This window comes from Homo sapiens, chromosome 19 (genome assembly GCF_000001405.40).
Source record: "Homo sapiens chromosome 19, GRCh38.p14 Primary Assembly".
Classification (NCBI taxonomy): Eukaryota; Metazoa; Chordata; class Mammalia; order Primates; family Hominidae; genus Homo; species Homo sapiens.
This window is the reverse complement of record NC_000019.10, coordinates 16,222,730-16,234,312: the sequence shown is the minus strand read 5'-3', so window position 1 is coordinate 16,234,312 and position 11,583 is coordinate 16,222,730. Positions and strand designations below refer to the sequence as shown.

General features: G+C 57.7%; 1 protein-coding gene across 2 annotated transcripts in view, besides 1 other annotated feature; it reads right to left on the bottom strand.

The window, feature by feature from the left end:
- The window catches only part of AP1M1 (adaptor related protein complex 1 subunit mu 1), a 47,996-nt gene that overhangs the window by 11,594 nt on the left and 24,819 nt on the right, over window positions 1-11,583 (bottom strand). For both annotated transcript variants that reach the window (NM_001130524.2, NM_032493.4), the window contains 6 exons: window positions 7,766-7,892; window positions 6,623-6,765; window positions 6,105-6,176; window positions 5,385-5,543; window positions 695-820; window positions 39-114 (listed from right to left, as the gene is read on the bottom strand). In NM_001130524.2, coding sequence (NP_001123996.1) covers window positions 39-114; window positions 695-820; window positions 5,385-5,543; window positions 6,105-6,176; window positions 6,623-6,765; window positions 7,766-7,892 — 703 coding nt within the window. The remainder of the gene's footprint in view (window positions 1-38; window positions 115-694; window positions 821-5,384; window positions 5,544-6,104; window positions 6,177-6,622; window positions 6,766-7,765; window positions 7,893-11,583) is intronic.
- Window positions 9,963-10,463: an enhancer, noted in NCBI's record as "H3K4me1 hESC enhancer chr19:16334661-16335161 (GRCh37/hg19 assembly coordinates)". NCBI's record gives its function as "activates a minimal SCP1, AML or CMV promoter by ChIP-STARR-seq in primed H9 embryonic stem cells {active_cell/tissue: H9 hESC(primed)}" and the evidence as "EXISTENCE:reporter gene assay evidence [ECO:0000049][PMID:30033119]".

Below are 11,583 nucleotides of genomic sequence, written 5' to 3'. Positions count from 1 at the left end.
TCAGTACAACCCCACCCCACGGGTAGGGCCTCACTCACCTCCATTCTGCGTGATATAACGCACCCAGGGCAGGGCCTGGTACCCACTCTTCTCAATGATCTTCAGGTAGCGCACCTGGGGCACAGGTAGCAGGGCCCTGAGCACCGCAGGCTCCCGCCCTGTTGGTCCCCCCTTAATCTTTCCTGCTGGGGCAGCCTGGGGCTGGCAGGGGAGGCCATGACGACAGGATGAGCACAGGCCTCAGGGGGGTGAAAGGGATTTGTCTGGACCATGCAAATGTGTGGGAGGGCAGAGCCGCCTCTGGAAGTGGTGAGCAGCCAGGATGTGGCTTGCAGACACGGCCTCAGCAGCCTGCTTGGGGGGCCCGGCCAGAAGGCCCCTGGCTCTCTGGGAGCCTCTCCTCCCTCTGTGGGCTTTTGAGGGGGTGCCAGGGAAAAGAGGTCCCATGGGGCATGAGTGGACGGCAGAGCCTCAAATGCTAGTTTGGGGCAGAATGAGTGAGCTTTGAGCTCAGGGGTCAGGGCTGAGCAGAGGCAGCCTGGCCTCACCCTGTCTGTGGGGAGGCAGAGGCCCACAGCACAGCAGGGTCCTGATTGCAGCTGACTGACACCCTTTCCCAAGCTGGCTGCATTGATATCTGTCACCTGCGGCCTCTGTCCCTGTTCTGGGCCCCGGCCGCCTGGGCCTTACGTACCTGGATGCCGGAGGTAGTGAAGTAAGGGATCTCGAACTTGACACTGATCGGGGGCTTGCCCTCCTTGTCTTCGGCCTCCACACTAGGCAGGCCGAAGTGGGCCCGCATCAGGTACTCCTTGCCGCCCTGGGGAGCAGACGGGGGAGGCGCTCAGGCCTAGGCCCTGCCCCAGCTTAGCCAACAGCTCTGGCCCTAGTGGCGATGGGCAGAGACTGACCACTCACCCCAGTCCAGGGAGGGGAGCATGAGCCCCTGTGCTGGGGAGCCAAAGCTCGGCCCTGTGCTGCCCCAGGCTGGTAAGGACAGCCCCTGCTCTGGGGTGCCCAGCTGCCCCATGAGGATACCCAGGCGCCCAGAGCTGAGCTCACCAAGCTGCCAGCCCCAGTCACCAAGCCCCTGCCAGTGTGGTCTGCAGTGGCCCAGCACCCCCCGCCCAGCTCCCCTAATGCACTTTCCTCCAAGGCTGGTGAACTAGACAGACCGGCCATGGGAAGGAAGAGTGTGTAATGACCGTGGCAGGGGAGGGCTGCTGGGGACAGGGGCCACACGCCCAGTCTCAGAACAGCATGTGAAAGAAAAGAGAGTGTCCAGGTGAGAACCATGACCAGGGAGAGGCGACAAAAGGAAGAAACCAAGGAGCATGCACTGAGTGACGATTCAGCCCTGGGTCCTGCTCCTGAGGGTGAGCAGGGGGTGGCTGTGGCTCTGACTGGAACCCGAGTCCTGGCTGTGACCTTCACCCTCTCTCTGCCTTGAGGAGCAACAGGTTGCAGCCTGGTCACCCCCAGCGCCTGGTCTCGCCCTGAGCAGTCGGGGGCACGATCTCAGCTCTGGCTGTGCCTGGGACCCCACAGTCTCTGCTCCCCAGGGCTCAGGCCGAGGTTCCGTGGGAGCTACTGCCGCCTAGGGCTGTTTCTGCCTCACAGCAGGGGCGGTCCCCGTGCACCTGGGGCAGGGCCGAGTGGTTCATCTCTGCCTACTGCCACCAGGGCAGCGTGAGAGTGAGGACTCTGCCTGACTTGGTGACATGTGCTGAGTACAGACTCCAGGAGGATGACGGGGGGAAGATGCGACATCAGCAACTGGTAAAGCAGGCAGCGAGGGAACAAACCCGCTCGGTGACTAGCCTGTGCCCCAAACACTCAGCCAGACCCCAAATCTGAACCTTAGCAAAGACCAAATGGAAAACACAAACAAAGAAAATGCAGGGAAGCAGACGCCAGGGGCGATGGAGGCCTGCACACCCAGCCTGTGTCGTCACGTTGAGCCGAGTGGGTTTAATTCTGCTCTCGATGAGAGCTGTAGGCTGGCGCCGGCTCACACACCAAAACCCACTCGACGCCACAAAGGCACAGTGAGAAGGGCTCCCCGGGTAGGAAGAACAGGCATTGACAGGCGTGCTGCCAAAGGCAGACAAAAGAGGACAGGGCTGCCATCATCACAAGGGAGAAAGGTGCACAGGAGGACAGGCCACAATCCTAGAGGCTGCCGTCCCATAAGCCACAGGGACAACACAATAGTCACAGGTACCCACGCATGAAGTAACATGGCAGCAACTTCTGTGAAGCAGGTGCTATAGGAGATGCAGAGAGAGCCAGGAGAAGGCCTGGACGCAAGGCCCGGCCCAGATCTCCATCCAGGTGGACAGTGTCATGTGCCATGGCCACCCATGGGCACATATCAAATTCCCTAACCTGGTAACAGACAGCAGTAGGGACAGGACTGAGAAACACTCTAGGTTTAAAAGCAAATAGCCTACACTATGGCACTTCCACAAAAAGTTGAAAATAGAATCACCATATGATCCAGCAATTCCACTTCTGGGGATACACCCAAAACAAATGGAAGCTGGATCTTGAAGAGGTATTTGTGCACTCGTTCACAGCAGCATTATTCACAATAGGCCAGGCATGGTGGCTCACGCCTGTCATCCCAGTGCTTTGGGAGGCCGAAGCAGGCAGATCACCTGAGACCAGCCTGAGCAACAATAGCGAAACCCTGTTTCTACTAAAAATACACAAATTAGCTGGGTGTGGTGGCATGTGCCTGTAATCTTAGCTACTTGGGAGGCTGAGGCAGGAGAATCGCTTGAACCCGGGAGGTGGAGTTGCAGCAAGCCGAGATCATGCCTCTGCAGTAAGCCGAGATCGTGCCTCTGCACTCCAGCCTGGGCAACAGAGTGAGACTTCATCTCAGAAACAAAAAAAACTAACCTAAAAAAAAAAAAACTTTTAGTATGGAGCAATCTAAGAAAGGGGGAAGGATATCTATCTATCTATCTAATCTGTATTTCTAATCTCTCTCTGTGTTTTTTTTTTTTTTTTTTTTTTTGAGACAGAGTCTTGCTCTGTTGCCCAGGCTGGAGTGCAGTGGTGCAATCTTGGCTCACTGCAAGCTCCGCCTCCCGAGTTCACACCATTCTCCCACCTCAGCCTCCCGAGTAGCTGGGACTACAGGCACCCACCACCACACCCGGCTAATTTTTTGTATTTTTAGTAGAGACGGGGTTTCACCATGTTAGCCAGGATGGTCTTGATCTCCTGACCTTGTGATCCGCCCGCCTCAGCCTCCGAAAGTGCTGGGATTACAGGCGTGAGCCACAGCGCCTGGCCCTCTCTGTATTTCTTAAAATTTATTTTTTGCAGTTCCTTTTGTCCTTAGGGTGTGTTATTTGAAGTGACGTGTCTCTGTGGTTGTCATCAACTTGATACGCTGATGAATTAATTTTGCTTTTGGTTTTTAGGAATTACCTTTTTTCCATTGTGATTTAATTTTGTTTTCTATGCATGGGAAGCACTGACAGGTGTACCTTCACACAGTGCAGGTTTGGTTCCAGACCACTGCCATAAAGCACATAGCACAGTTAGGCAAGTCACACACATTTTTTGGTTTCCCAGTGCATGTAAAAGTTACGTTTACCAGCCGGGCACGGTGGCCCACACCTGTAATCTCAGCACTTTGGGAGGCTGAGTCAGGCGGATCACAAGGTCAGGAGTTCGTCACCAGCTTGGCCAACATGGTGAAACCCCGTCTCTATTAAAAATACAAAAATTAGCCAGGCGTGGTGACACATGCCTGTAATCCCAGCTGCTCAGGACGCTGAGGCAGGAGAATCACTTGAACCTGGGAGGCACAGGTTGCAGTGAGCCGAGATTGTGCCACTGCACTCCAGCCTAGGCGACAGAGCGAGACTCCGTCTCAAAAAAAAAAAAAAGGTTACCGTATACTGTAGTCTGAATGTGCAACAGTATTATGTCTAGGAGAATGTACATACCTTAGTTAAAACATACTTTATTGCTAAAAAGTGACAACACAGAGACCACATGCTGTTGGAATAATGACATCAACAGACTTGCTCAACGCAGGGTTGCCACAAACCTTCCATTTGTTTAAAAACTAAAACAAAAATAAAAATGCAGTATCTGGGAAGCACAATAAAATGAGGTGTGCCTGTGCATGGCTTCGAAGTAAAATCTACACAAGCACAGTCCACGCCAGCCTGTGTCTCGGCCCTTAGCCCTGTCCCTTCCTCCCCCGTCTACAGCTCACCATGCTGTTTATTTGATGAAGTATTCTCCCAGTGTGTTTTAAATGATAAACACTATTTTCAACAGTGGAATTGCAGGAAAAGAGGAGCTAATCCAACTATCCGGGATGGTCACCACCCCTCCATGGAATATCCACAGCTCCCAAAGGTGACCGCCAAGAAGACAGTCAATACCAGAAGGAAAACGCTCTGCCGCAGCGCCACGTGGAAGGGCAGGCACTGAGCTGGCTCTACTTGCACATAATGAGGAAAAGCAAAATACGCAGAAAGAAAGGTGAGGAGACACGCGGAAAGGCTGACGGGAGTATTAGGTGGTGGGGTAACTGGCTTTTCTCTCTCCTTCCTCTACTTTCTGTATTTTATGTCATGTGATTAGACTGAGGCTGGGAGGGAAAGTACCATCATGAAATTCAAGGCACTTGAATTGCAGCATTTCCAGCTTAACTCAGCTGGGGCTGTCCCCAAGTCCCCCTGGGATGCAGATGGAGAGAGAGGGGAGAACATGGAAAGCAGCGCCTGCCCTGAGCCCCCCTGGTGGAGCAGGTCAGTGCCACCCGGCTCAGCTCCAGAGCCATGCCTGGGCCTAGCCTCTCTGTGCACTGTGTACACCCGGCAAGCCCAGACTCAGCTCCTCAGAATCCTTAACATGTTGTCAGGGAAGCCACGCCGATGCAGAGCTGGCCCAGGACATGGGCGGCTGGTGCGGAGCTCTGGAGGCTGTGCTGCTCCGGCCTACAGGCAGCCGTTCCCCTTGATGGCAGGCAAGGCTGAGCCTGCACAGAAAGGGCCTTGGACCTGCCAGTGTGGACGGGGCTCCTTCAGGGCCTGCATGGACAGGAGCCCCATCTCACATCAGTACTCAGGGGCATCACAGAGAGGGAGGGAGAGGGCACTGCCCTGAGGTGAAGACAGAGGCTGGTTCACAAACAAGAGGAAGGCAGAAAGGGGCCCAGGGGCCGAGTCAGCCTCTGCTTCCTCCCACTCCAGTCCTCAGCTCTCCGTCCACCCTTTCAGAAGCCCCAGGTGTGGAAGACACAGTGGCCACTGTCACCCCATCTTGAGGTGCAGGGGGTCCTGAGGCACCCAGGCTGCCTTGCAGAGACAGGCGCAGGGGGCACGTGGATGTCTGGACAGAGTGCTCACCGGGAAGGACTTGATGGACCACACGATCTCGCTGTTCTCGGGGACCCACTTAACGCTCCCCACCGTCGTCTTGAACTTGGGTGAGTCGGCATCATTGGGCACGGGAATGTGGATCTCCACGTTGTTGGCTGTTGACCGCCGCTTGAACTGGCTTTTGGCCTGCAGGCCAGGCCAATGCGGCCCGGGGTTATGGAGGCCAAGGTGAGCTGGCCAGCCTCTCCAGGACACATGCCCCTCAGCCTGGCCCGGGGGATCCTCCCTAGCCCCGCCCCTGGCCCCACTTCTCCAGGCACTACCCACCCCTTCTCCTGCCCTCGAGACTCTCCCAAGACCTAATTTCAGGAGTTTCATCTTCATCCTCCTGTCTGCTCAGCTTCCAAGGCTCCTCATCCCTCCCTCTGCCCTGCCCTCCTAGGACAATGTCTATGTCCCAGGGCCAGGCTGCGCTGGACAGGGTCGCTGAGGGGCAGAGGTGCTCCACCTGGGGGCAACACCTCTGGGAGTGTCCTGGATGCCTGGCTACAGGCCCCTCCCCACAAGTGGCACCATCTAGGAGCAGGCCCCAGGCGGTGTCCCCTCAGTGTCAGGTCACTCCTGCATCTGAGGCCACAGTGAGGGTGCACGGATGGCAGCCCTACGGCACCCCCAGCCCTCGGTTAGGCTCCTGGGACGGGCCAGAGACACCAGAAGGCCCTCAGTGGGTGGCCTCGGCCCACGCACCTTGATCATGTACTCGATGCGGCTGTGGGAGTGCTTCTCGATCACCGACTCGATCCATATCAAAGGCTTGACCTGCCAAGGAGGGCAAAGAGGGTGCTCACACCTGGCCTTGTTTGACAAAGGCCCATTTCAGAGGGGAAACCAAGGCCCAGGGCAAGGGACCATCTGCCCAGGTGTGGGCCCAGAGCCCTGCAGGGAGCGTACAGCCAGCGTCAGGGAGGGCCAGGGCAGACAGGCCGAGGTAGCCGGGAGCTACCGGGGAGGCCTTGGGGCAAATGCAGAAAACATGACCAGGGCCTGCTCTGGGGGCTGCCTGGGAAAGGGGTGGTGGTGGCCAAAGGGGTCTGTGCCCCTCAGAAAGCTCGGAGTCCCAAGTCCTCAGACTCCATCTCTGCAGAGCCAGGCAGCTCATGGAGCGTGGGGTGGGGCTGGCCCTGGCGCCTGCCTGGGCTTCACCTCCTGGAGGTGAAGGGGAGGAGGAGTCTGCCGACAGCCCAGCCCCAGGGTGGCGCACTCACGTGGGTGTTGAGACGGTAGGACATGAGCTCGAACTCGCCGTCGGGTGGGATGAAGGAGATGGTGCGGTCATTCTCGAAGCGTGATAGCCGCACACACTGGTGGAACTTCACATCCTCCAGCTCCACGGATTTGCTTTTGCCGCCTGGGGTCAGGGGTGAGGGTAGGACAGATCTGGGCCCTCCGGGTCACTATCTCAGCAGTACTCCTACCACCTGCAACCCACCCCGGCAGAGCAGGGCCCCCAGTCCACGCACTGAGAGCAGCCTGGGCCACAAACACCAAGGGGGCTGGGTCCCAAGACAACTGCCCCATCACTCCTCACACCCCTGGGGTCCCCAGGGGCAGGGCTGGTGGGTCTGGTTCATGCTGAGTCCCCAGCGGCCATCCCAGGGCCCAGCCAGGGGACCTGCTCAGGACACGTTCACTGAATGATTGATCAGTGGACTTGGCTGGGGGATGGCTCGGGGCTCCCCAAGGGCTCAGGCCCTGGCATCCACGGGGTCCTGGGTCCTACCTTGGTTTGCCACCTCACTGAGGGCTATGTGGGTGGGGCCCTGCCCAGCCCCAGGCGGGGAGCTGCCCTGATAGACTGATGCCCGAGAAGCCCTCACCGGGCTAGGAACGGGGGCATGCCCAGCCACTGCACCCTCTTCCAGTGGCCTGTGACAGCTGAGTGGGAGGCACAGTTCACAAAACCAGGCCCTGGGCCCCTCTGCCCCCGCCCTGCTGTGGGAAGTGTTAGAGGCCAGGCGGCGGGAGCGAGAATCACCATGCGTGGCCTTCACACGGCCCACACCTAGGGCCCAAGGTGAGGGGAGAAACCTGGCCTGGGAGGGAGAGAGCAAGGCCTTAGCCTAGGCCCCAGTGCCCCAGGCAGAGCAGGGCAGGGTGCAGGACCTGGCGTGTGAGGCCGGGTGACGGGGGCCTCCCAGCTGGACTGGAGGATCTTCACTCCCCTGCACCTTCTATGTCCAGGGAAGGATGAATACTCTACACAGCTGTCTCAAGCAGTGTGAAGTGCTGCTCAACCAAGTGCTTGAAACCAGCTCGTTCCTCCGCCTGGCCCAACCCTGCCCTAGGCTGTAATGTGTGTGCCTGGTGAGGCCATCCTCATGGGCAGGGCCCTTGGCAAGGGTACTCACGGCCCGTGTTGTCAAAGAGGACCTTGTCGTTGAGGCCCAGGCGCAGCTCGGGCATGCCCGAGAGGAAGACTCGCATCTTGATGGAGCCCACGATCTCGCTGCGCAGGACATTGCCGTTGGCGCTGACCTGGGGGTGGCGGTGTGGGCGTGAGGGGAGGTCCCCAACTCACCAGCCACTGCCTCCTACCACATCATGTGACCCTCTGGCCACCCCACTCTCAACGCCCTTCTCACCTCCAAGCCCATCCCTCTCCTGGGCATCCCCTGAGCTGGGAGAGTCCCAGCTGTGGCTAAGGTCTACCCCTAACCCACACCAACCCACGCCTGGCTGAGGGTCCCCAGGCTCACCCCTCCAGCCTTCATGCCGAGGCCCTGTGGACATGAGGTGGACACTGTGGGTCCTGCCCTCTAGGCCTCAGGCCACACTGGGACCTGATGATGCGTGCCTGGAGCCCCCTCTGAGGGTTCTCTATCAGGTACCAGTCCCTCCCTCCCAGGAGCCCCCTGAATGCTCCGGGCCGGCCCGGCAGCTGGTCCCCACGCTGAGTCAGCTTTGAGAGTCCATGAGCTCGGCTGGACCTGGGCCAGGACCCTGTGGTCCCTGCTCAGCCGATGGGCTGGGCTGGGCTGGGGTCTCTTGAACCAGGCCAGACTTGCTTTTCTTGAAAGCTGTTTCTCCTCTTGGCCTCCCAGGGAGGCCACTGGCCCCTCACCCCCCAGGGCTTATGAGAGATGGTGCTTCCTGAGTCCTGACCCCTTCTTGCTTCTCAGGGCCACCCTGAAGTGTGATAACACTTGATCCAAAATAATCAACTTAAATCCAGTCACAGTGGCTAACACTGACAGCATTTCCACTGCGCCAGGCATTGCTCCACACACGCCTCGACAACCTCTGGGGCAGGGACTGTGGGGAGATGACCTGAGGGGCTGTAACCCACTGCGCATGCCGAGATGCATCTGAAAGTGCAACTGAAAATCCACACCGGGGCGACGGTCCTGCACCCCCTAGCCTGTCCTGCGTGAGCCAAGATGCTGGAGCATCTCTTCTTGCATCCATTTTAGAGGTGAGGAAACAGGCACAGATCAGAGGCCCCGTGCTGAGGGCACAGAGTGACTGGCAGAAGAATCGCTGGGGCTGCAGCCCTGGCCACCACTGCACACTGCTATGCTGCACGAGGCCATGCTCACACCAGCAAGTGGGCCAAAGGCCACCGACTTGGATACCTGGGCCCAGATGCTGGCTCCAGCCAGGCTAACATGTGCAGGGCCTGCATTTCCTGTCTGCAGAGTGGCAGGAGAGTCTGTGCAGTCTTATGCATGATGTCCAAAAAGCACTGGGTAGACAAACAAAAGCCCCTCACCAGCTTGCCGCCTCTGAGGGAATTGGGAAAACTGAGGTGCCAAGCAAATGACAGCCCTGGGAGGGGCAGGGAACCGGACATGGCCCCAAGGGCTCCGGTTCTGTCACCTTCCCCAGCCTCACCTCCTCGTGCTGTCCTGTCCTCATCTCGCAAGCGGCTCCCTGATCCCATGGTGCACAACAGCTTCCCTGCGTCTGCCTGCTTGTCTCTCTCTCTCTCTCCCTGCTGGGGGAAGCCACGTGGGGCTGCGCGCTGCCGTGTCCAGCACCAGAAACAGCGTGTGTGGCAGGAGGTGCTCAGTGGGCAAGCGGAGGCTCAGGAGCTCGGGACCCTCACTGGCCGGGGCTCCAGGAGCCCGAGCATTGGGATTTTGCCTGCCTCTTTCTCGGAGGGCCCTCCACTCCACTGTGACGGCCCCTAATTCCCCTTGGGTGCTGCCTCCCCCTCAGGGAGTTGGGACTGGCCCTGGCAGCCAGCTGTAACTGAACACATGAGGTCGTGAATGCCGCGAGAGCAGGCCCAGGGAGTGGAGCTGAAAAGCTGCCCAGCCCACGAGGCTGATCTCGGCCCTGCGGGCAGCAATCAGAACCTTCTCAGCTGAGGTGTGACCAGCCACGCAGAGCCGGTGCCCTTCCCAGGGCGGGTGCTGAAGGGATGCTTGCTCAGGGCCCGGCTGTGTAAGTACCAGGCTGCACTCAGATGATCGCATCTGGAGGCAAATGTTGACCCAGCCACCAGCTCTGCAAGCCACTTAGGAAGGTGGCATCCTGACAGCTGCCCTTGTGCTGACCTGTTTGGAGGAGTGGGATCCTTCCGGGCGGAGCCACATGCAGCAGCGCACTGTGGCGGGGACCCCCGCAGCCCTAGCGCTTTCCTGCTCGACTCTCTCTAAGCTGCCCCCTGGGACTTGCCTTTGCACCCCACAGCACCCAGATGGACCCTGTTTTCGGCTCAATAAACAATCAGACAAGAGTCCCCAGGGGAGAGGGGAATGTGGTTAGCGAGGCCACTGTCCCGTCCCGGAAAGTAAGAAAGCGAAGAGGTCTGCACGGAGTGCGCGAGACAGTCTTTCTGGGCAGCACTCTCCTTGGCAATTCCATGTCTGCAGCCTCAGTCCTCCAGAAATCCTGGCCCAGGTCACGGAGACACCCAAGTGCACACGTCTGGGGCTGAGCAAGCGTGCTCAATGCTGCACTGCCAGTGGCCGTCAGAAACGGGACCTGAGTGACCTGCATGACTGGATTGGCTGAGCCCATACAGTCCACCCACACCGCAGGGATGAGGCCAGCGTGAACACAAAAGAAAGCAAGCGGCTGGTGAGGCAGGTCGGCTGGCGCCCCTTCCCCTGCCACTGACTACAGCTCTGAAACCTGGGCAGGAGGCTTGGCAGCTGCCGGAAGACTGAAGACAGCAGCAGGTGGACCAGGGAAGAGCCACGAATGCAGAGTGTTCCCACCGCCCCCCACGAGAAAGTGCAGCAGCAATCTGGAAGCAGAAGTGTGCACCACAGAGCACACGAGAGCTCAGCAGAGCCTCCAGGCCTGGCTCTGGGGCCAGAAGAGGAACTCCTGACTCTCCTGGAAAACACAGAAGCCCCCCATCTCCCCTGTTCCTCATGCCCCAGGCCCTGTGGTGCCAGCTACTGTTCCGAGGGGGTGGGGCAACCGTTGTCCTTTTCTCTCTCTGTCCTCTCTCCATGTGGGCTGGGAAGTGGGCCCAATGGCAGACGTGTACAACAGTAAACCGCAAGGAATCAGAAAAGTACCAGGTAGACAGCACAGAGCCAGAAGCTCAGGAAAGTCACCCCATGAAGTGGTTTATGTCTCCAGAACTCTCTAGAATCGAGCATCTGTGAATCCTGTGCATATACCATAGTTTGACTTACGAAAGAGTTTGAGAACTGAACTAACCACTCGGGTCCCAGAATGACCACTGGGCAGTGCACGCCCAGGAGATCTGACCAGGAAATGGCACGGGGGCTTTAAAAACTGACGTGATGCTCATGGCCTACAGGTTGGGGATTGGAACTTGTGGCCTGAAAGTAAGATTGGCTGTTGGCTAAAACAAAAATATCAATATTTCCCATATAGCTTAAATAAGACCTAGAGTATCACCACATAATGCTCAAAAAGTCCAGGATGCAATCCAAAATTACTCAGCATACAAACAACCACGAAAATGTCAACTTGCCTGGAAAACCCAATCAACCACTGTCAACACTTCACAGATGTTGGGATTATCTGATGAAGACTTTAAACAGCTATTTTTAAAATTGCAAATGCTTGCAACAAATGTTAAAATAGAAAGTCTCAGCAAAGAAACAGATGATAAAGAAGAATCAACCAGGAGTTCGAGACTAGCCTGGGCAACACAGCAAGTCCTGGTCTCTACAAAATAAAAAATAAAAAAAAATTAGCCAGGCATGGTGGTGCGTGCCTGTGGTCTCAGCTACTCAGC